General features: G+C 44.0%; 1 long non-coding RNA gene across 3 annotated transcripts in view; it reads right to left on the bottom strand.

The window, feature by feature from the left end:
* Positions 1 to 1,289: 1,289 nt before the first annotated feature.
* Positions 1,290 to 25,604, bottom strand: part of LOC105375821 (uncharacterized) — a 127,805-nt gene continuing 103,490 nt past the window's right edge. For all 3 annotated transcript variants that reach the window (XR_001745891.1, XR_001745893.1, XR_001745892.1), the window contains one exon: positions 1,290 to 2,386. This is a non-coding gene — a long non-coding RNA (uncharacterized LOC105375821). The remainder of the gene's footprint in view (positions 2,387 to 25,604) is intronic.

Below are 25,604 nucleotides of genomic sequence, written 5' to 3'. Positions count from 1 at the left end.
ATCTGAGAGTTGGTTAGGACAGACCTTAGTTGAAATTATAACTAGTTAGTAAAAAATCTAATCTTGGGAATCCCCTCTTGAAAAAATGTTGCAATTTTAAGTACTCTATCAATATTGTGGAAGATCCAATAAAAATATCATAAAATGAAAAATTTTCCAGCCCATTAAGCCTGACTTTTTAAAATAGTACATTTCACATTTGCTTAAATCGGATTTAGGCAGGGAAAAATTTTAGTTGAAATTTTTTTTTTTTTTTTTTTTTTTTTCGAGATGGAGTCTCGCTCTTTCTCCCAGGCTGGAGTGCAGTGGCGCTATCTCAGCTCACTGCAAGCTCCGCCTCCCGGGTTCACGCCATTCTCCTGCCTCAGCCTCCCGAGTAGCTGGGACTACAGGCGCCCGCCACCACGCCCAGCTAATTTTTTGTATTTTTAGTAGAGACGGGGTTTCACCGTGTTAGCCAGGATGGTCTCGATCTCCTGACCTTGTGATCCACCTGCCTCAGCCTCCCAAAGTCCTGGGATTACAGGTGTGAGCCACTGCGCCCAGCTGATTTTAGTTGAAATTATAATTGCTTAGTGAAATACATAATCTTTGTGCTGAGACATTTTGCTATCTCTGCTCCCTGGGAAATGTAGCAATAGAGAATGACACCCTACGCTGACCTGTTGAACTCAGGATATGAATGGGGCAGTAGGGATCTGGCGTCCAGACAGCTGGAGACAAGCTCCTGAGGTGCCTGTATATCCCCGCCTGGCGGGGTACAGCTTGACAAGCCCTAGCCCCAGCCTGGGAAGATGGGCAGGGGGCACGGGAGCAGGAGCTCACAGATGAGAGGGGCCCCAGGATCAGAGAAGGCTGAAGCTGTATTACTTACCAGCAGCACGCCTTCCCCTACATACTCCATGGCTTCAAGCTCCATTTGCCCCTTATAAATGGGGATTATAATACTTAAAATATCTTATAGGACTGTTGGGAACGTGAGTGAGGCTTAGCACAAAGCCAGGAAGATAATAAGGGCTCAGTAACTGATCATTAAGGTTCCCTGGAGCACCACAATTGTGGGGAAATCACAAATGAGTGTTTCTGATGGATCATTTTCAAAGGGTTTTTTTCTCTTCAATCTCCATCTCCCCACCCCTACCCCCAGTCCCTGATAAACACTATTCTGCCATTTGCTTCTGTGAGTTTGACTTTTTAAGATTCCGTATATAAGTGAGGTCATGCAGTATTTGTATTTCTGTACCTGGCTTATTTCACTTAGCATGTCTTCTAGGTTCATCCATGTTGCCACTGATGACATATTTCCTTCTTTTTCAAGGCTGAATGGTATTCCATTGTGTATATACACCACAGACTCTTATCTTTAGCCAAGGTAAATCTCTAGCTCCAGCCCAGACCTTCTCCAGTGCTCTCCACAACCCACTCTGGAGGAATTCTTTTCTCTTAAACTGCTCATTCTCCCTCAAGCACATCCCCATGGAGAACCCTGGGAAATGGAGAAGAGGAAGTCTCTGTAAAGAATTAACAGCAGGAAGGCAAGATAAGTCTTTAAGTTCAGCAGACTAAGGAGCTCCTCCTTTTTATAACTTTATGCCTGCCACGTGTGTGCCTCACATTCCAAGGACAAGTGTATTTTGCTCAGTACGCCTCATTACTCAGTGAAAATTGAAGCGAAAGCATCTCCCTCGCCCATCGAGCACTCAAGCCTTTGCCATCAGTCTGACTTTGCTCTAGGGGCCTTTTGCAAAAGCCCATATCCCTTTCCTCTCTGCGCCCCCAGGCCAGGCAGGCTGAAGGCAGCAGTGCCTCCTGCAAAGGCTGTGCCTGGTGTTCATGGCAGCCATAAGGTCAAGTAAATGCCAGAGACTAGTGACCGCCCCTGCCATGGGTAGTGCTGTCCTTCACCATCACCAGAAGGGCAAGAGAATCTCACAGGGAAAATCCCCAGGCATTTGTGTCCAGTTGCATTTGACTCCATAGATTAACTGTGGGTTCATCAGTGTTGCTCAATTTGCAATGAGCTGGCAAAGGCTAGCAGCTTCAAGAATGCAGTCTGGGCTTTACTTCCCACCAACCAAGGCCCTTTGATAAGTCACAGTGACTTATTCTGGGAAATAATTAACTTCTTTGAAAAATCAGATTAATGCTAATATCTGCCAGTTTTTCTGGGGAAATAGGTTTCGTTCATGACAGTAAAACACCACATAACGTGTTCTCAGTGTTGATGAGACATTACACTAACAGTTGAAGTCAGGACTGTGATCCGTAGTATATCGAGCTATATTAGTGATACATGATGGGTGTATAGTTTTGAAAACTTTGAAAGTGGTTTCAACATAGAAGATGCCATGTAGTCCTCCAGGGCAGAAGTCATTACCTCCATTTCCTGGAAGAGAACAGATGCGGAGAAGTTGGTATGGTTCACAGCGGGTTGGGGGTAGGGGTGGGACCTCGTCTTGTGCAGGACAGCAGGTTGGCGGAGAGCTGTGCTGAACAGTGGCAAATTACAATGTGGGTACAAATGGAACCACACTGTGATGGGTCACTCAGATGTCCTGATCAATGCGTGGTACAGTGAGACACAGAGGGGTCAGAGATGAAATGGAAAGTGAGACACTCATACCTCCTGCCCCACACCTGCTGGCCTCTCCCCGGCAAACACCATCCCCCCGTCTCACCTGTGCTCTCCTCCCTCTGTTCACAATTTCCCCACCTAAGTTTGCCTTTGTTACAGCACTGTTACTGGTACAGGGTCTTGACTGCAAGTTGTTGAGGTTCTTGGCATTTTGAACAAAGAATTGGACAAAATGCACAGCAAAGCAACGAACGAATGAAGCAACGAAACAATGAAAGCAGAGGTTTATTCAAAACGAAAGTACACGCCACAGTGTGGGAGCCTGCTGAGCAATGCTCAAGGGCCCGGACAGAATATTGTCAGGATCATTGGCCACTTCATGCTCCCCTCATGTAAATGAAATGGTGGCCTGCAATCGGTCTGATTGGTTGCAAAAGCAACCAATCAGAGGCTGAAGTGCAGTTACAAAGGGCACACTCCTATGCGAGTATCTGATTGGTTGCTTTTTGCAACCAATTAGAGGCTAAGATGAAGTTGCAAACGAAGACAATTTTCAATCTGCCACACAGAAAAGGTGGGGGATTGGAATAGTAGCCTCTGGTCCTTTTGTTACTTAGGCGTGGAAAGTTACGGTTTTCCTTTCAATTTAGTTCTAGGAAGTTGGGGTGAAACAGCCTTAGGTTCCCTGCCTCCAGACCCTATTCTCCTGCCTCAGTACCTGTTAAACCCCTCTGTCACTTATCTGTCTTCCCAATTAGGCTGACAAGCTCCTGAGGGCAGTGGCCCTAAAATGACATCACAGTGGCCTGATAGTGAACACGTGGACCATCCAAAACAAATCTGCTTCAAAGGCAAATGACATGTGTGAGAGACGCTACCCAGGGCCAGGTAGGCTGTCTTGGGGGCACAGAGAGGCACAGAGAGGAAGCATGAGAGCACCTTCAGTGCATCAGCCTGTGCCAGTACCACGTGCGTAAAGACGCAGGAGATGATGGCAAGGAATTTTAACATCTGCCTCCTTGATATTCCCATATGCTAATTTTTGTGAGAAATATTTTGAATACCAAAACCAATTTTTGTTGAACATTGTGTGTGCTCTTGCACTATTTAACCTTTATGTGCACTAAAGGCTGAACTTACCCTAGTTCATCTGACTTTTAGCCCCCATCCCCCTCTCACTATGGATGTCTCAGGAGAAGAGGTCCCATAAACTGGAGTTTCCAGTTCACCCCAAGGTTCATCAACAGGGACACTCCACGCTATATCCACAGACAAAAGAACATTGAGTCAACCCTGGCCACAATGACTCAGGCACGGACACACCTGGCCCTGCCAAGAAGCCCCAGCCACAAGGCAGAGCGGTGAGTAGGACAGGGACTCCTGCAGGGGACAGGGGATGTGATGCATCCTCTGGGGCAGGCCAGCTGCCTGTGGGGGCCCTCAGACCACCCTGGAATCTCACTGTTGAATCCAAAATGGGGCTTCCAACCTACTGGAGAGTCCCCTGTTTCCTGCGGTTTGTACCCTCACCTAAGCAAAGGGCCACATCTTGCCTACATCTTGGCGTTTTTGGAAACACCATAATTATATAACGTGATGTGTCAGTGGTAGTATTTTCCCATTGTGACAGACTTTCCTCCCATATGAACTGTGTGTATGGCCTGTACATTTTGTCTTATTTTATTTTTAATTTAATTCTATTTGATTTTTTTACAGATGGGGTCTTGCTATGTTGCCCAGGCTCATCTCGAGCTCCTGGACTCAAGCAACCCTCCCACCTCAGCCTCCCAAGTAGCTGGAATTACAGGCTCAAGCCACTGGTGCCTGGCACCTGTCCATTTAGAAAATAACTGCTGGGCTTTCTGAGCACTCGTTATATGCTATGCCTCTAATACACTTTCTCATTTAATCTTTGGGGCACCCTATGGATTAGATATTATTCTCTCCCTTCCACAGAGGTACAAACTAATGCTTTGAGAAATAGGGACTTGCCCAAGGTCACACAACTGGTGAGGGATGGCCCTGAAGTGTGTTTAAAAAGTGAACCACAGCTTACCCAAGGCCAGACTGACCAAAGCAAGGGACATGCACCTCGAAGCAGTCCTTGAATCAGAGCGATGTCCAGCTGCCTGCTCTCTCCTGGCCTTGTTGCCTCATTTAATTTAGTTCCAGGGAGTCAATACATGTATTATTTTAAAGGAAAAATGAAAACATTCCAGAAGAACATTTGAGTATAATTTCAAGCTCAAAAAGAACACAAAGATCACTTTACAAAGAAGTCCTATAATGAATAAACTCTTCATGGGGGGTGGGGGAAACCAGAAAAAATAAAGTTGGATTTCCTTGGGATCCACTCAACTCTTTAATTCTGACTCTCAGTTACTAACAAAACATTCTCCCGTGCAGCCCTTCACCCCATACTGCTCCATCAAGCAGGAAACTCAGGAGCCTTTACCAAAATTGGCACATGACTTTTCAAATGAATCATCAGCTTGCTATTGTTCTTTCAAGGAATTTTTAGGAAAGAAAGAAAACAAAATTCTCCAGAATCCAAGATTTGGTGATAGATGTTTGTTGTCTTCTTGGCCCTCTTCTGTAAAGAACTTCAGCGAAATCAAAGAACAGATGCATCTTTAAAAGACAGAAAGATGAGAGAAAACTAAAAGAAAAAAAATGTGGTGGTTGCCAGGGGAGGGGTGCTGGGGTAAGGGATTGGGAAGACAGGATACAAAATCTCAAGAAGATCAAGAAATCTATTGTAGGACATGGTGACTGTAGTTAATAACAATATATTCTATCTTTGAAAATTGCTAAGAGTAGATTTTAAGTGTTCTCATCACAAAAAAAGTATGTGAGGAAATGCATGTGTTAATTAGCTCAATTTAGCCATTCCACAATATACACATATTTCCAAACAACATGTTGTACACCATAAATATACAGAATTTTTGTCAATCCAAAAAAAAATTAAATCTTCTGAAGTGGAGAATCTAAATGGAAAGAAATATAAAGAAAAATATATTGATTAACAGATAAAACAGCTAACGTCAACTTCATTTGAGCCTCTGATATTTGGGGTCCTGGCTGCCTCTGCTGTGGCCTTGCTCCCTGGCCTCCCGCTGGTCCCGGGCTGGCGGCTCTGGGCTTGCTTCCCGCAGCCACGTCCCTCCTCCGGTCTCCTGGAAGATCTGACCCGACACAGTAGCCTCGGTACCATCTGTGGATGGGAACCTCCGAGTCTGTGTTCCCAGCCTGACCTCCTTCTTGGGGTCCAGTCCGGAAGCTCTCGCTGCCTGCCAGACCTTCCCTGCTGTGGGCCACTCACATCCTGCAGCCTAAAATTTCCCAGAAGAACCTCATTTTCACCGTGTGCCACCGAGCCTCTGTAATGACTCCTTGTTCTCCATGGATGGCCGGGACACCTGACCTGGCCTGGGGATTCTGTCGGCCCACACTGCCCACAGCCGCCGTGCCCAGCACTGTCCTCATGCCCCTCTGCGGCGACACGCAGCACTCAGTCCCACGGGCCCCTTGCTCACGCTCTCCCTTCTGCCTGGACGGTGCTCTCTCTGCCCTTTTCCACCTGATTGACGTCTACTTTTCCCGTACATTTCAGCTGAGATAAACCAGACCCTGAAGAGGCCTTGGTGACTTGCTAGGCAGGCCGGCACTGGTGGGCGCGTTGGCTCCACGCACCTGACCCTGGGCTATGCCACACGCCCACTAGTCCCAGGGACTGGGGACAGACAGTGTTTCTTATTCACTAGGAGGCACAGTGCCCGGCACACAACAGGAAGTCACAAGCAAATGAGCAAATGATTGCAGCATGAATAAATGAAGGTAATTGATTTCTTCCTGAGAACATACTTGGGTCTGGGCCCCACAGGAAGTGCTAGAAAAGCTTTCATCTGATGCTGGGTTATTTATGCCCAAAAAGGTTTTCTTGAGGGATCATGGAAAGACACAAGGTCATTGGATAAATACAGTACTACTTCCTAGAGGACCTGATCTACTGAATAATTAGCCGACATGACAGAAAACAATAGTATCACTGCAAAGAGGCCTTTATAAGATTTGACACAAAGGCCTCCAAGACGTATTTGACTTTGCACCTGGCTACCCAATTCACTTTGCTGCACATCCCCCAAGGGGGGCAGTCCGTCTGTCTACTGGGCTCCTTCTCTGGGAAAGTCTGGGAAACATTTCCAGGGGGAGAAGCTCTCATGCTGTCCCCCCTGAATACCTCACAGCAGCCCTTATGGTCAGCCTTTGAAGTGATGGTTTTTGATTCCTTACTTTTCCAAGTCAAAATCAGCACAGCCCTCAATGACTGGGGCTAGGAGCAGAGGTAGAGGAAGTTGGGAGGCGTTGGAGTAGGAGATTCAGGGAAGACAAGTTTACCATTTGAAATCATGTTGTGTATTGAGAAGGGCATGGACCTTAGAGACAGAACTTCCGGCTCTGCAACGGACACATGCAACCTTAGGTAAGGTAAGTCTCAGGTAAGTAAATTAAATCTGCATGGAAAACCCCATTTAGGGCTTGGCTTACAACTGAGCAGCAGGCAGTGAGAGCTGGTAAGGATTCTGTTCTCATGACAGTCATTTGGAAGGTTGGTGCCTTTACCTTGCACACTGGGGATTCAACTCAGTCCTGACCCACCACCTCAAGAAAACAATTTTCTTTCATTTCCTTAACACCTGATATGGTTTGACTGTGTCCCCACCCAAATCTCACCTTGAATTGTAGTTCCCATAATCCCCATGTATCATGGGAGGGACTAGGTGGAGATAATTGAATCATGGGGGCAGTTTCCCCCATCCTGTTCTCCCGATAGTGAGTTAGTTCTCATGAGATCTGATGGTTTTATAAGGGGCTTCCGCCTTCACTGGGCACTCATTCTCCTTCCTGCCACCAATGTGAAGAAGGATGTGTTTGCTTCCCCTTCTGCCATGATTGTAAGTTTCCTGAGGCCTGCCCATTCATGCTGAACTGTGAGTCAATTAAACCTCTTTCCTTTATAAATTACCCAGTCTTGAGTATGTCTTTATTACCAGCATTAGAACGGACTAATACCCAAATCTCTATTTCCTTTCTTGCATATTTAAGAGATGCTAGAAGTTAACTTCAAGTAGTTTGAAGCCTCTTCAGTTGCTTTGAGGCTGGACCCAGTGGGGGCCCTTCCACTCTCTGGCCTTGTGCACAGTCAGACTCTGCTCCCAGGAGCCAGAAGGAGCCAAGAGTCAGCTGGGCAGGTGGTATGGCTGGGGTGTGCCCAGGAGTTTGTGAGCAGGGGCCAGGCTGGGGCAGGGTGCCGCAATTCTGAAATGCTGCCCTGATCCAGTTTTGAGGCCCTGGCTAGAAGTCAGTCAGTTCCCCTTCTTGAGCAGATTCACTCCACATCCCCAGAGGCTGCCTTTGTTGGGCTCTCCCACTCTGGGCCACTGTCCACCTGCCCTCATCACCCCAGGACAGATACCAGACAGCCCAGCACAGCCCCACTGCTCCGGAGCCCTGACATTGTTCAATCCCACCAATCCGCAGCCTGCTTGCCTGGCCTCACCTGCTCCTTCATGCAGAAACTGCAACAAGGGAGCTTGCCCTGAGCTCACTCCCCTCATTCAGGGCCTCCTGACCCTATCCGAGCCTCCCCAAGGAGCCATGAGAATAACAAACTGTAAAATTCTTTCTGGTGTCATTCCTGACCTGCATCTGGCCTCACCACACTTCACCCAAGGTAATGTGCTTGTAACAGGCACAGCCCAGGCAATCAGACTGGCCTTGGGCATTCATTGGCACCAAGAGCATGTCCCCTCTTTGGCATTCCCTCACCCCCGCCCCCCAGCCACCAGGCCAGAGCCATGGGAAGGTCACCTCTTGGATGTTAGCCACCCTATTACTTTCTAGATAAAGAAACAATCTCGCTGCTTCCTCTGCTCTAATGTGACAGTTGCTGTCTGCCTCACCCAATGGGAAACAGTCATGAGCAGTGTAAGATGAGACATAACCAGGCCCACACATGTCTTTCCACAGGTCAGAATTTACAGAGGCTATTTTAATCATAAAAGCTACAAACTACCTGGAGTTCTCAAGGAGGCAATTCTTAGTATCACCTATGGAAACACAGGCTCAAGCCACTCCACAAGTCAGTCAATATTGCAAACCATACATAGTAGTATATTTAATCAATATATAAATGTTATAGATTAAACATTTCACATCAAACAAAGTAACGTTCAACATCAAGAGAAAAGGAGGTCAGAAAAGGAACTAATGAAGCAGTCCAAGGAGAGTGACGAGGAGAAGGGGAGTGTCCTGGGCTGATCCCAACGGACGCCAGTGTCTTGCAAGGAAGAGGCTTTGATGTGGGCAGAGGCTTCATCAGCAGATGCCAGGTGCTCATCACAAGTGACAGCAGGACAGGGTCTGCCAACACAGCAGTGTCTACCTGATGAAGTCTCACTCATTTTATGGCCACAGAGTCCTCTGGTGAAGACTGATAGTAAAGGGTCATGTCTTATCTGGTTAAGTGCGCATCTGCCCAGAGGGTCTTGTTAGCTAGTGAAGTTCTGCTCATTTTATGGCCCTTGAGTCATCTGGCAAGGACTGATAGTAAGCGTGTGCCTGTTCATGCCCTTGTCTAGTTAGGTGCAGTCTCTGTTGATTAGGGGAACATCTTTTCTCTATTGGCACGACGCCTTTTGAGATGTAAGATGGAGTAGTTTTCCAAGATAGAGTTACTTATGTCAAGCTTGCTGTTTACAGAAAGGCAGAGGTGTCCTTTCATTGTTCCCCACAGTCATCTAAATGCGGAGGTCTTCCTCCCTGAGGCAAACTCCCCGGAGTGGGGGGAGCGCTGGCCTCAGAGTCAGAAACCCAAGCTTACTTGCACCCTGAAGGTTTCACTCAAGCCAGGTCACTTTACTGCCCTGGGGCTCCATTTTCTTATTTTTAACATGGAAACAATAACGCCTGCCACAGGGTACCATGAGGAGGGCGAAGAGAGGATGATGCCTGCCCTCTGGTGATGCTGCTGGTTTGAGCAAGCCTGAGGTAGGGCTTTCCCCTGCTGCAACAGGATCCCACTTTCTCCACCATCGCCATTTGTAACCCTAGCTGTGGCCGTTGGTCTAGGGGAGGAAAATGTCCCTCGCTGGGACATGGATGTGGTGCTTTTAGGAGCCTGCATGGTTAGTGGATGAGAAGTTATTCCCAGACCACTTCAGGGCTGCTTACTGGCCAGACAGCACACAACCGTCTTCCCTTTCTAAACCTAGAGTTGAATTTACCTTCATCTTGTTCTGCTCCCAGAAATCATCCTTCTGTTTCTTGCTTTGTATGCTCCTGTAATGTAAAAATAGTTGGCAGCTTTTTCAAAAACTATGTAGCTGCCTAAAATCAAGAATTTCTATAATTTAACCTGATTATTAAATCCCTTAAGGAAAAACAAAGATGAAAAGCTTTTGGTAGGAAAGTTACATTGTGAAAGGATGATTTTGCTACTTATGCAGTCAGTTTTATTACTAAAAACCTAAACGTAACCCAGAAATTTAAATATCCTGAGATGTGGTTTTTCTTTGAAAATCACTAAATTGTGCTGAGTGTAGGGGTTCAGCTAATTGTGAGAATCTCTTTTTGATGACGTCATTACCCAGAGAAAGAAGAGCTGCCCCCAAATCTGCTCAACAGGGAATCCAGTGCCTCCACTGAAATAACAATCCTTTTGTTTAAGGCAACAAATCTCTCCATAAATCAAAATATTTTTCAACAGAGAAAGTGTTGCTTCAGAATTGATGAATAATTTTAAAAATTCTATTTCTATTCTTACATAAGATGGTTAATTACAAGGATTTGAATCACTAGTAATCGAAGGATCAACAAAATATATTGGCTGGGCTCTGTGGCTGGCATCTGTAATCCCAGCACTTTGGGAGGCCAACGCAGGAAGATGACTTGAGGCCAGGAGTTGGAGAGCAGCCTGGCCAACATAGTGAAAACCATCTTTACAAATTTTGTTTTAATTAGCTGAGTGGGGTGTTTGCATGCCTGTAGGCCCAGCTACTCCAGAGGCTGAGGCAGGACTGGATCCCTTGAGCTTGGGAAGTCACACCTGCAGAGAGCCATGATCATGCCACTGCACTCCAGCCTGGGCAACAGAGCAAGACCCCATCTCCTATATATACATAGAGAGAGAGACTATATTCAGCAAGAAAAGGATTTCTGTTTTAATATGCCTTCATTAATTTGGAAGATAATGGCAATGCTGAACTTTACCTAAGCCCAGTTCTCCTGGGAAGTGTTCCAAGAAATGGACAGCCCCCCAGGACCCCCTGCCATCCCATTTCTGAGATAAGGCCCTCCTCCAGCATCGCTCAGTCACTCACATGAGGCCTGTCTCCTATTCTTGAGATCCCAAGGGACTCTGAATGCCTTCCTTGTCTACCTGCCTTGACACATCCCCAGGCTGCCAGCTTCACTTCAAGATGCCTCTCACTGCAAAACCTTCTCCCCAATACGGCAGCCCAAATAAAGCAGTCTCAGTTGATCTGTGCATTCTTTCTTTCTCAGTTTTGGTGCCGTGACTTGGATAGGGCCAGACTTCACCTGGAGCCCCCATTGATCCCCAGGTAACGAGGCTTTTGGGGCCCTTGGTGCTCCATTCCTGACTGGTGCTCCGGAGACCCAGGCCTGTGCCTGACCTCAAGTGATCTACCTCCCTTGGCCTCCCAAAGTGCTGGGATTACAGGTGTTAGCCACCACTCCCATACTAAATATTTAATATTACGAAAAATTTAATTTGTGTTTAACAAAATTAAATCATTTTGACAAACTTTTATTCATAAGTAATCATGTTTTGTATGTTTTGTAGTGAGTCAACTTTAAGTCAACTTAAGTTTACAGTTTCCAAGATCTTTAGGTAATTTAAAACTGGGACTGATGCTTAATTAATGAATATTTATTATATACCTAGATCATTTGTAAGTAAGAGAACATTGAAGGATTAATTACTAAGCATAATTTTAATTTTGTATAATGTTTGCCTCTTTTTGTTGTTGTTGTTTTGTTTTGAGGCAGAGTCTCACTCTGTCACCCAGGCTGGATTGCAGTGGCGCGATCCTGGCTCACTGCAACCTCTGCCTCCTGGGTTCAAGTGATTCTCCTGCCTCAGCCTCCCGAGTAACTGGGACTACATGCACTCGCCACCACGCCCAGCTAATTTTTGTATTTTTAGTAGAGACAGGGTTTCACCATGTTGGCCAGGAAGGTCTCGAACTCCTGACCTTGTTATCTGCCCGCCTCAGCCTCCCAAAGTGTTGGGATTACAGGCATGAGCCACCATGCTCAGCCTCTTATTTTTATATGTACAGAGAGGTTATATATATATTTGAGCCTATTAGTGAAGATGCACATTTTTGGCATTTTGAGAAGTTGTAGTATAAGGGATATGTGGGTCTCAGAAAGCTGTGAAATGTATATTCATGAGTTCTGCTAACCTGTTGCAAAATGCTGGTGTGTGACAGTTTGCAATTATTTACCTCCTAATTTGCTGTGTGACATAGAAATTACTTTGGAAAAAAGTTAAAATCAATATATATGATTTTACTGGACTCTACTGGAAGCAATAAAAGCAGAGAGAAACAACTTTGTAAGCAATCTGTGTAGGATATGTTTTTGCTAAAGGGAAAAGAGAGTACTTTTGTCCTAAAGTAAAACGACTTGTTTTTCCATAATAACAAAGAGGAAAGTACAGGACAAAACCTGAATGAATATAGGAAGTTGCAGAAGGTTCTCAGAAAGTGATTTTTCTTTGCAGTGGTCAAAGCTGGCTAAGGTTGGTTGGGGTTTCGTACATAACAGAGCAGCTCCCTCGCTGCAATCTATTGAAAGTCAGCCCTTGACACAAGGGTTTATATATAAAAAAAAAAAAAAGACATTTGCGGGGGTCAAGCCAAGATGGCCGAATAGGAACAGCTCCGTTCTACAGCTCCCAGCATGAGCAACTCAGAAGACAGGTGATTTCTGCATTTCCATCTGAGGTACCGGGTTCATCTCACTAGGAAGTGCCAGACGGTGGGTGCAGGACAGTGGGTGCAGCACACCGTACACAGGCGGAAGCAGGACGAGGCATTGCCTCACTCAGGAAGTGCAAGGGATCAGGGAATTCCCTTTCCTAGTCAAAGAAAGGGGTGACAGACGGCACCTGGAAAATCGGGTCACTCCCACCCTAATACTGCGCTTTTCCGATGGGCTTAAAAAATGGCGCACCAGGAGATTATATCCCGCACCTGGCTCGGAGGGTCATACGTCCACGGAGTCTCGCTGATTGCTAGCACAGCAGTCTGAGATCAAACTGCAAGGCGGCAGTGAGGCTGGGGGAGGGGCGCCCACCATTGCCCAGGCTTGCTTAGGTAAACAAAGCAGCCAGGAAGCTCCAACTGGGTGGAGCCCACCACAGCTCAAGGAGGCCTGCCTGCCTCTGTAGGCTCCACCTCTGGGGACAGGGCACAGACAAACAAAAAGACAGCAGTAACCTCTGCAGACTTAAATGTCCCTGTCTGACAGCTTTGAAGAGAGCAGTGGTTCTCCCAGCACGCAGCTGGAGATCTGAGAACGGGCAGACTACCTCCTCAAGTGGGTCCCTGACCCTGACCCCTGAGCAGCCTAACTGGGAGGCACCCCCCAGTAGGGGCAGACTGACACCTCACATGGCCGGGTACTCCTCTGAGACAAAACTTCCAGAGGAACGATCAGACAGCAGCATTCGCGGTTCACAAAAATCCGCTGTTCTGCACCCACCGCTGCTGATACCCAGGCAAACACGGTCTGAAGTGGAACTCTAGCAAACTCCAACAGACCTGCAGCTGAGGGTCCTGTCTGTTAGAAGGAAAACTAACAAACAGAGAGGACATCCACACCAAAAACCCATCTGTACATCACCATCATCAAAGACCAAAAGTAGATAAAACCACAAAGATGGGGAAAAAACAGAGCAGAAAAACTGGAAACTCTAAAAAGCAGAGTGCCTCTCCTCCTCCAAAGGAACGCAGTTCCTCACCAGCAATGGAACAAAGCTGGATGGAGAATGACTTTGACGAGTTGAGAGAAGAAGGCTTCAGAGGATCAAACTACTCCAAGCTACAGGAGGAAATTCAAACCGAACGCAAAGAAGTTAAAAACTTTGAAAAAAATTTAGACGAATATATAACTAGAATAACCAATACAGAGAAGTGCTTAAAGGAGCTGATGGAGCTGAAAGCCAAGGCTCGAGAACTACATGAAGAATGCAGAAGCCTCAGGAGCCGATGCAATCAACTGGAAGAAAGAGTATCAGTGATGGAAGATGAAATGAATGAAATGAAGCGAGAAGGGAAGTTTAGAGAAAAAAGAATAAGAAACAAACAAAGCCTCCAAGAAATATGGGACTATGTGAAAAGACCAAATCTACGTCTCATTGGTGTACCTGAAAGTGACGGGGAGAATGGAACCAAGTTGGAAAACATTCTGCAAGATATTATCCAGGAGAAATTCCCCAATCTAGCAAGGCAGGCGAACATTCAGATTCAGGAAATACAGAGAATGCCACAAAGATACTCCTCGAGAAGAGCAACTGCAAGACACATAATTGTCAGATTCACCAAAGTTTAAATGAAGGAAAAAATGTTAAGGACAGCCAGAGAGAAAGGTTGGGTTACCCACAAAGGGAAGCCCATCAGACTAATGGCAGATCTCTTGGCAGAAACTCTACAAGCCAGAAGAGGGGGGGGGCGGCCAATATTCAACATTCTTAGAGAAAAGAATTTTCAACCCAGAATTTCACATCCAGCCAAACTAAGCTTCATAAGTGAAGAAGAAATAAAATACTTTACAGACAAGCAAATGCTGAGAGATTTTGTCACCACCAGGCCTGCCCTAAAAGAGCTCCTGAAGGAAGCACTAAACATGGAAAGGAACAACCAGTACCAGCCGCTGCAAAATCATGCCAAATTGTAAAGACCATCGAGGCTAGGAAGAAACTGCATCAACTAATGAGCAAAATAACCAGCTAACATCATAATGACAGGATCAAATTCACACATAACAATATTAACATTAATGTAAATGGACTAAATGTTCCAATTAAAAGACACAGACTGGCAAATTGGATAAAGAGTCAAGAACCATCAGTGTGCTATATTCAGGAAACCCATCTCATGTGCAGAGACACACATAGGCTCAAAATAAAAGGATGGAGGAAGATCTACCAAGCAAATGGAAAACAAAAAAAGGCTGGGGTTGCAATCCTAGTCTCTGATAAAACAGACTTTAAACCGACAAAGATCAAAAGAGACAAAGAAGGCCATTACATAATGGTAAAGGGATCAATTCAACAAGAAGAGCTAACTATCCTAAATATATATGCACCCAATACAGGAGCACCCAGATTCATAAAGCAAGTCCTCAGTGACCTACAAAGAGACTTAGACTCCCACACAATAACAATGGGAGACTTTAACACCCCACTGTCAACATTAGACAGATCAACGAGACAGAAAGTTAACAAGGATATCCAGGAATTGAACTCAGCTCCACACCAAGCAGACCTAATAGACATCTACAGAACTCTCCACCCCAAATCAACAGAATATACATTTTTTTCAGCACCACACCACACCTGTTCCAAAATTGACCACATACTTGGAAGTAAAGCTCTCCTCAGCAAATGTAAAAGAACAGAAATTATAACAAACTGTCTCTCAGACCACAGTGCAATCAAATTAGAACTCAGGATTAAGAAAATCACTCAAAACCGCTCAACTACATGGAAACTGAACAACCTGCTCCTGAATGACTACTGGGTACATAACGAAATGAAGGCAGAAATAAAGATGCTCTTTGAAACCAACAAGAACAAAGACACAACATACCAGAATCTCTGGGACACATTCAAAGCAGTGTGTAGAGGGAAATTTATAGCACTAAATGCCCGCAAGAGAAAGCAGGAAAGATCCAAAACTGACACCCTAACATCGCAATTAAAAGAACTAGAAAAGCAAGAGCAAACACATTCAAAAGCTAGCAGAAGGCAAGAAATAACTAAAATCAGAGCAGAACTGAAGGAAATAGAGACACAAAAAACCCTTCAAAAAATTAATGAATCTAGGAGCTGGTTTTTCGAAAGGATCAACAAAATTGATAGAACACCAGCAAGACTAATAAAGAAGAAAAGAGAGAAGAATCAAATAGATGCAATAAAAAATGATAAAGGGGATATCACCACCGATCCCGCAGAAATACAAACTACCATCAGAGAATACTACAAACACCTCTACGCAAATAAACTAGAAAATCTAGAAGAAACGGAAAAATTCCTTGACACATACACCCTGCCAAGACTAAACCAGGAAGGAGTTGAATCTCTGAATAGACCAATAACAGGCTCTGAAATTGTGGCAATAATCAATAGCTTACCAACCAAAAAGAGTCCAGGACCAGATGGATTCACAGCCGAATTCTACCAGAGGTACAAGGAGGAACTGGTATCATTCCTCCTGAAATTATTCCAAACAATAGAAAAAGAGGGAATCCTCCCTAACTCATTTTATGAGGCCAGCATCATCCTGATACCAAAGCCAGGCAGAGACACAACCAAAAAAGAGAATTTTAGACCAATATCCTTGATGAACATTGATGCAAAAATCCTCAATAAAATACTGGCAAATGGAATTCAGCAGCAAATCAAAAAGCTTATCCACCATGATCAAGTGGGCTTCATCCCTGGGATGCAAGGCTGGTTCAATATACGCAAATCAATCAACGTAATCCAGCATATAAACAGAACCAAAGACAAAAACCACATGATTATCTCAATAGATGCAGAAAAGGCCTTTGACAAAATTCAACAATGCTTCATGCTAAAAACTCTCAATAAATTAGGTATTGATGGGACGTATCTCAAAATAATAAGAGCTATCAATGACAAACCCACAGCCAATATCATACTGAATGGGCAAAAACTGGAAGCATTCCCTTTGAAAACTGGCACAAGACAGGGATGCCCTCTCTCACCACTCCTATTCAACAGAGTGTTGTAAGTTCTGGCCAGGGCAATTAGGCAGGAGAGGGAAATAAAGGGTATTCAATTAGGAAAAGAGGAAGTCAAATTGTACCTGTTTGCAGATGACATGATTGTATATCTAGAAAACCCATTGTCTCAGCCCAAAATCTCCTTAAGCTGATAAGCAACTTCAGCAAAGTCTCAGGATACAAAATCAATGTGCAAAAATCACAAGCATTCTTAAACACCAATAACAGACAAACAGAGAGCCAAATCATGAGTGAACTCCCATTCACAATTGCTTCAAAGAGAATAAAATACCTAGGAATCCAACTTACAAGAGACGTGAAGGACGTCTTCAAGGAGAACTACAAACCACTGCTCAATGAAATAAAAGAGGATAAAAAGAAATGGAAGAACATTCCATGCTCATGGGTAGGAAGAATCAAAATCGTGAAAATGGCCATACTGCCCAAGGTAATTTATAGATTCAATGCCATCCCCATCAAGCTACCAAAGACTTTCTTCACAGAATTGGAAAAAACTACTTTAAAGTTCATATGGAACGAAAAAAGAGCCCGCATCGCCAAGTCAATCCTAAGCCAAAAGAACAAAGCTGGAGGCATCACGCTACCTGACTTCAAACTATACTACACGGCTACAGTAACCAAAACAGCATGGTACTGGTACCAAAACAGAGATATAGATCAATGGAACAGAACAGAGCCCTCAGAAATAATGCCACCTATCTACAACTATCTGATCTTTGACAAACCTGAGAAAAACAAGCAATGGGGAAAGGATTCCCTATTTAATAAATGGTGCTGGGAAAACTGGCTAGCCATATGTAGAAGGCTGAAACTGGATCCCTTCCTTACACCTTATACAAAAATTAATTCAAGATGGATTAAAGACTTAAACGTTAGACCTAAAACCATAAAAACCCTAGAAGAAAATCTAGGCATTACCATTCAGGACATAGGCATGGGCAAGTACTTCATGTCTGAAACACCAAAAGCAATGGCAACAAAAGACAAAATTGACAGATGGAATCTAATTAAACTAAAGAGCTTCTGCACAGCAAAAGAAACTACCATCAGAGTGAACAGGCAACCTACAAAATGGGAGAAAATTTTTGCAACCTACTCATCTGACAAAGGGCTAACATCCAGAATCTACAATGAACTCAAACAAATTTACAAGAAAAAAACAAACAACCCCATCAAAAAGTGGGAGAAGGATACGAACAGACCCTTCTCAAAAGAAGACATTTATGCAGCCAAAAAACACATGAAAAAATGCTCACCATCACTGGCCATCAGAGAAATGCAAATCAAAACCACAGTGAGATACCATCTGACACCAGTTAGAATGGCAATCATTAAAAAGTCAGGAAACAACAGGTGCTGGAGAGGATGTGGAGAAATGGGAACACTTTCACCCTGTTGGTGGGACTGTAAACTAGTTCAACCATTGTGGAAGTCAGTGTGGCGATTCCTCAGGGATCTAAAACTAGAAATACCATTTGACCCAGCCATCCCATTACTGGGTTTATACCCAAAGGACTATAAATCATGCTGCTATAAAGACACAGGCACATGTATGTTTATTGCGGCTCTATTCACAATAGCAAAGACTTGGAACCAACCCAAATGTCCAACAATGATAGACTGGATTAAGAAAATGTGGCACATATACACCATGGAATACTATGCAGCCATAAAAAATGATGAGTTCATGTCCTTTGTAGGTACATGGATGAAATTGGAAATCATCATTCTCAGTAAACTATCACAAGAACAAAAAACCAAACACCACATATTCTCACTCATAGGTGGGAATTGAACAATGAGAACACTTGGGCACAGGAAGGGGAACATCACACTCTGGGGACTGTTGTGGGGTGGGGGGAGGGGGGAGGGATAGCATTAGGAGGTATATCTAATGCTAAATGACGAGTTAATGGGTGCAGCACACCAGCATGGCACATGTATACATATGTAACAAACCTGCACATTGTGCACATGTACCCTAAAACTTAAAGTATAATAAAAAAGAAAAAAAAAAAAGCTGGCTAAGGTTTAATGGAATTACTTACACAATTTTCAAAAAGAACTTTTTACATTTACATTTGGTCTGCTCTCACTGAGATGTTGAAAAAGTTGTCCTTTGCCTTCTGAGTAAGCTGCCTAGAAGGTAAAGATCCTTGTGCTTTATGTTGACTTTTTAATGTTCTTGATTATTTAAGAGAACCAAATATTCTCATTTTGAAAGCATGAAGATTCTTTATAGTCATGTTACCCCCTACGTTTCCTTATAAAACTTTTTATTTTTGAGACGGAGTCTCTCTCTGTCACCCGGGCTGGAGTGCAGTGGTATGATCTTGGCTCACTGCAACCTCCACCTCCTGGTTTCAAGCGATTCTCCTGCCTCAGCCTCCCAAGTAGCTGGGATTACAGGCATGCCACCACACCCAGCTAATTTTCGTATTTTTAGTAGAGACAGGGTTTCACTATGTTAGCCAGGCTGGTCTCGAATACCCGACCTCAGGTGATCCTTTAATGTCACTTTGGTTAAGTAGGTAGCCAGGTACAATTTCTCAGTAATCCATGATTACACCTTTTTTTTTTTAATGTTATCTTAGAAACAGGGGCTGTCTCTGTGGCCTAGGCTGGAGTGTAGTGGCATGATCATAGCTCACCGCAACCTCGAACTCCTGAGCTCAAGTGATCCTCCCGCCTCAGCGTCCTGCTTAGCAAGGACTAGAGGTGAGCACCACTGTGTCTGGCTAATTTATTATTTTTCTGTAGAAAGGGGTCTCACTGTGTTGCCCAGGCTGGTCTTGAACTCCTGGCCTCAAGAGATCTTCCTGCCTCAGTCTCCAAAGTGCTGAGAGTACAGGCATAAGCCACCATGCCCAGTCTTCAGTTATTTTTAAAATGTCAACTTCATCATGATTTTCCCTCTTTAATTTGAATCTAACAACTTCTCAGCCAGTGGTTTTCTTTTTTAAAAAAAAAGCAATGAATTTTATTCATAAAATGTGCTAACAGAGTAGATTTTAAGTGTTCTCACCACAAAAAATTATAAATACATGAGGTAATGCATGTTAGCTTGATTTAGACATTCCACAATGTATACATTTATTTTATTTTATTTTATTTTATTTTTTAATTTGACTTTAAGTTCTGGGATACATGTGCAGAACGTGCAGGTTGGTTACATAGGTATACGTGTGCCATGGTGGTTTGCTGCACCTGTCAACCCGTCATCTATGTTTTTAGCCCCGCATGCATTAGGTATTTCTCCTTATGCTCTCCCTCCCCTTGCCCCCCACCCATCACAACAAGCCCCAGTGTGTGATGTTCCCCTCCCTGTGTCCATGTGTTCTCATTGTTCAACTCCCACTTATGAGTGAGAACATGCGGTGTTTAGTTTTCTGTTCCTGTGTTAGTTTGCTGAGAATGATGGCTTCCAGCTTCATCCATGTCCCTGCAAAGGACATGAACTCATTCTTTTTTATGGCTGCATAATATTTCATGGTGTATATGTGCCACGTTTTCTTTATCCAGCCTATCATTGATGGGCATTTGGGTTGATTCCAAGTCTTTGCTATTGTAAATAGGGCTGCAATAAACATACACGTGCATATGTCTTTATAGTAGAATGATTTATAATCTTTTGGGTATATACCCAGTAATGGGGTTGCTGGGTTAAATGGTATTTCTGGTTCTAGATCCTTAAAGAATCACCACACTGTCTTCCACAATGGTTGAACTAATTTACATTCCCACCAACAGTGTAAAAGCGTTTCTATTTCTCCACAACCTAGCCAGCATCTGTTGTTTCCTGACTTTTTAATCATCGCCATTCTAACTCAGCCGGTGGTTTTCAACTGGGGCTTTCACATCACTTACCCATGAAGTTTTATAATGTGCAGACATTCAGGACCTGCTCCTTCCTGAGTCCCTTTGCACTTCATATATTCTTGATATATTTTAACTATATGCTTTCACATATTATGTCAGTATTATTATATGTTGTATCTGAAGATATTGTCTCCATAAAGATCATGTTAATCCATTTTAATAAATTAGATGTGACAGCCATTCTTCTTTGAAAATGGGGCTGTCCATGTTTGTGGGTATTTTATCTAAGTTTACTTGGACTGATTTTACTACCATGTTTTGCATATGCCAGAGCAACAGCACAATTTCCCTGTTGGTTGGATCATTCTTGTCATGAACTCTCATCAGACTTTCACTTTTGAAAATGGTCAGTAATAAGGTAACCACAGCCATTGTAAGTCTTTCTTCATCTACATAGTTTTTTTTTTTTCTTTTACTCTGATGCTTCTTTGAAAGCTTTACAATCAGCTATAGGCCAAGGTGATATGGTTTCAAAAAAGAGTTTTCTCAGAACCCTATGGAAAAGGTATCTGTTTAGATGCAGATCTCTGATGGCATTGCCTAAACCATGTCTGTGGATTGAGTCAGGACTTCCAAGACTCTAGTTGAGAAACAGATGGATTTGTGAGACTGCTGACCCAATATCCAAGAATTAATTGCATAGGGCTGAATGAACAGATGAGGAACAACTGTGGTTTTTGTTTAGAATATTATTGATGTTTTAATATTCTATTCTCTGAATACATAAGGTGTTTTTGCTTTCCTCTTAAGCTATCTGTAACTAACAATTTATTAGACTCTTTTTGTAAGTGGAAATAAAACATTTATAAGTGATATCTTATTCTCCTTGCCTGGGCCCTCCAGAAGTCAGAACTTTTATTGAGTGTTCTTACTTTTTCATGGCAATATAATTGTTTGTCTAGGTTGGATAAGAATCTGTCCTCCTTGTAACAAGACAAAATTGGAAACAATGGTTCCATAACAAAGGCCATGACGGAAATGTCATATTTGAGAATGATGGTCATTTAATAAGATATGAACAGACACTTTTGAGGAACTAAGATTGACTGTATGGAGCCAATGTTTACAAACTCTCCCAGGAATACCGGTGTGGTACCTGGCAAATATGTTCTCAGCCTTACAGATGAGCAAAGACTACTTCCTGACCAGCCCAAGAACATTAGGACAGCTTGGGTGGGGACCTCAAGATGAGAAGAATTTGACCAAATTTATAGATATTGCAAGTGAAATCTAGTGGTTTGATATAGCTTTGCCTGCTTAGCATCAAGAGGCTTTAAGAAATCCAATCTGAGATTCTTTATGAAAACTTCCAGCACGGCAAACTTAAGGCCAGCAAATTTAACATCCTACAATACCGACATAAATAAGTAGGCTAAATCTAATGAGACCAGCCTTATTTTGTGATCAAGAGCAAGCTTTCTTTCATATTATCTTTAATCAAAAGGGGGATAGTTAAAGAGAATTGTGTTTGAGTAGAAAACTATAGCACTCCCTGGGTTTATCGAACTCTGGCCCTGCCTTTGGGCTGTTTCTTGCCTCTTTTTTGTAATTCAAGGTACCTGATGAATATGCATTCTCTGTCTTATCTGGCAAAGAAATAATTGACTTCCTCCCGCTCTGAAGAAAACGGTATTGATACCTACTTATAAATTAGATCAGACCCTGTCACCTTATTCAGATCGTCAGTTTCCCTCAGTGTCTACCTAAAACTCTCCCAGCAAACAGTTCCCATTTTTCTCCCTCCCTCCTGACTTGGTGTCACTGAGAATTCAAGGCTGATGGCCAGATCCCCTAGAACTCCAGGCTGCCTCATAGTGGCCCTTGCCTAGGATGGCAGAAGCTCTGTGAGCTGAAGCCTTTGGACTTGATCCAAACCTCCCAGAGCTGCACCCCCCACCCCCCCCACCCCTGCCCACAGCAGACCCTGCATGGGCTGGATTCCCCTGGACAGGTCAGAAGAAGGTTGAGCAGAATGCTCAGGTCATGCACACCCTTGTACAAGAGATAACCATACCTGTGCACAGCATCACAAGAACACCAGCAGCCTGGCTCGGGAACTGCAGAAACTCAGGGAATGGGGCTGCCTAGTGGCTTGGAACCCACTGAGAAAGGACAAGAGCCTGGGGTGTTAAAGCAGTTAAACAGGGAGTCGTCCAGAGTCTCCTGGGATTCACAAGAGAGAGGAGCCAGGTCTTCCAAGCCACTGAGCCAGGCTAGAGGAGGGTCTCATCCCGGAATATGGGAGGGCAGGGGGTCCTGTGGGACTGTCCATTTCTCTCTTAGATCACAAAACGGTAGAAGAGGATGAGGATATCTTATTTATTTATAATATATTTAGGGGTACAAGTGCAGGTTTCTTACATACATTCATTGCAAAGTGGTGAAGTCTGGGCCTTCAATGGAACCATCACCCAGATAGTGTACATTGTACCCAGTAGGTGGTATTTCATCCCTCACCCATCCTTCCACTCTCCAACCCTTCTGAGTCTCCAAGGTCTATTCTTCCACTTTGTAGGTTCATGGGTATGCATTTCTAGGTCACATTTGTGAGAACATGCAATATTTGACTTTATTCTTCTGAGTTATTTCACTGAGGATAATGGCCTCTAGTTCCATCCGTGTTACTGCAAAAGACATGGTTTCATTCTTTTTTATGGCTGCATAGTATTCCATGGTGTGTGTGTGTGTGTGTGTGTGTGTGTGTGTGTGTGTGTGTGTATGTGTATGTATATGTATATCTCACATTTTTTTTTGGATCCTGTCTCCTGTTGATGGTGTTGGTGGACATTTAGGTTGATTCCAGATCTTCGCTATTGTAAATAGTGCTGCAATAAACATACAAGCTCAGGTGTCTTATGTAATGACTTACTTTGAGGGTAGAGGAGGATTTCTTGACCTTCAATTGTTGTATTTCAGGACAAGGTAAAGTTCAACCTTGTCATTCTCCCCTCTTATTCAAGAGGAATGAAGATCATCATTGGTGAACAATATTCACCAAGGTTAATCATCATCTTCCTGAGTGAGGTGAAGTGGGTCTGAGAAACACTCTACCAGGACTTTTGCTGGTGGTATTCCTGTGAATCGGTTCAACCACCTGTTGAGAGGGGGTGGCACAGTCCAGAGTGTTAATACATTGAAGGCCAGTCTTATTGAAAGAGAAATGCCTAAAATGATGAAGAGAAATGTGAGTGTAAATGTCACATTAAAGGGAAGAGTGAGTGTTGATCCCTGGGAATGATGAATCTCACTGAGCCCTCACTGATGAAACTTCTCCCCTACTGCAACAGCCTAAATAAATCATCTCCTTAATTGTCCAGCATATTCTGTCTTTCACAACAAGATTGAGAGTCTTAAATTTACATAATGTAACAAAAATATTAGAAATAACGTCACGAAGTGTTCCATCTTAAACCTTCTATGTAGTATTTTTTTAAACCTTGTGTGGTATTTTAATGAAAATATCTGTAATCTTCTGATAAAAATACTACACAAGATGGTGAAAGATTTGTCAACCAGTAAAGAACTCCTGTCTTGGCCTAGGAAGGTGTAACTGTGTAGACACAGTTCATAAACCTAGTAGTGGGCATTCAGCTCATTTTAGTTCAATCTAAGACCTTTTATCAGAGCTGTATTTTATTATTGCACAGGCACCTACCCCCCCCACCCCGCCCCACCTCCCACACACACACAAGGCCTAGAGGACTTTACACAAATGAGGCAATCCAGTATCGTGGTTTGATTGCTGTAATGATGGACAGATAACATTTCTTGATGAGCTGTCTCCCAGATTCTCCCAGCGTAACCAGGGTTTAGTCGCTTGTGGTTTGGACACACAGTCTCTGGAAGCCCATCTCCTCATTTTTAGTCAGATCCAAAATGTAAAGGGTCCAGCCCATCCTCATCCCCTGGGTGTGCCCTTGAAATGCGACTGGTGTGAACCGGGACGTGCTCTGTGTGTGAAATGCACACCAGATTTCAAAGACTTAGTATGAAAAGAAAAATGCAAAGTATCTCCTTAATAATTTCACATGGTTAATATTGATAGGTTAATATTCTGGATATGTTGGGATAACAATAATATCCCATTAAAATTAAAATTAATTTCACTTGCTCCTTTCTTCCTTTTTAAAAATGCAGCTACCAAAAAATTTAATGTTAAATCTGAAGCTCACATTCTATTTCCGTCAGACAGCACTGAGTCTAAACTCAATTTCTGTGAGTACTAATAAATGCAGAGTGACCTTCATGGGGCCTGCTTCACAAAGGTCACACACCCTAAGGCATCTGTTCTCTCGCCTCTTGTCACATGGAGTCCCCCGAAGTCAGCCTCTCAAGTAGCAGGGCCCCTGAGCACCAATTTCAAAAATGGACTGGGTAGGAATTCCCCACCCCAGGCAATCCCCCAGCCCCCACCTGCTGACAGAGATGTCAGCCAAGTGTCAGAACTGTGACCAGGACACAGATTCCTGCACTCCCACAGCTCCTCAGGCCCATAACAGGCTGGCTCCAGGACCGTAGGGGCCCATAGCTCAGGCAGCCCCCACATCCCTAGGCTGCCAGGTCTTGGTTTCACACCTTCCCCCTCATCCAGACACAGTCCTCTTTCCTCTCTTCCCTTGGAAAGTCTCCTAATTTTGAGCCACTAGCCGTTCATCTGAGGCACCCTGGGGGGCTCCTGCTGCCCGTGTTGAATTGTACCTGCATTCCACATAAATGACTGCAGCTGGCTCTGGCCAGACTTCCCTAGAAGAGGAGAGCAGGAAGGCCTTGCTGGGGAGCATTCGGGGTCCCTGGGGCCAGCAGGGCATTCAGCAGCAGTTGTGTAGGGTGACGGCGCACCTGCCAGGCACCCTGGGAGCAAGCTGCCCTTCACCTGATGCCCTCTCCCTGCAGGAGCTACAGCACCTGTTACACAAGAGTGCAGGTTCCCCTTCTGTATGTGAAAAGGGAAATCTAGTCTTCTCTTAGGGGTTGGCTTCTTCCCAGGTGTCTTCTCCAGATAGATCATTCAAGCATCTGTTCCTACCAGGGCCAGAAGAAGACACCCTAGAGGAGTACTTCAGAT

Source organism: Homo sapiens, chromosome 8, assembly GCF_000001405.40.
Source record: "Homo sapiens chromosome 8, GRCh38.p14 Primary Assembly".
In the NCBI taxonomy this organism is placed as follows: Eukaryota; Metazoa; Chordata; class Mammalia; order Primates; family Hominidae; genus Homo; species Homo sapiens.
The sequence above is the reverse complement of the archived record's forward strand: the minus strand, read 5'-3'. Positions and strand labels throughout refer to the sequence as shown.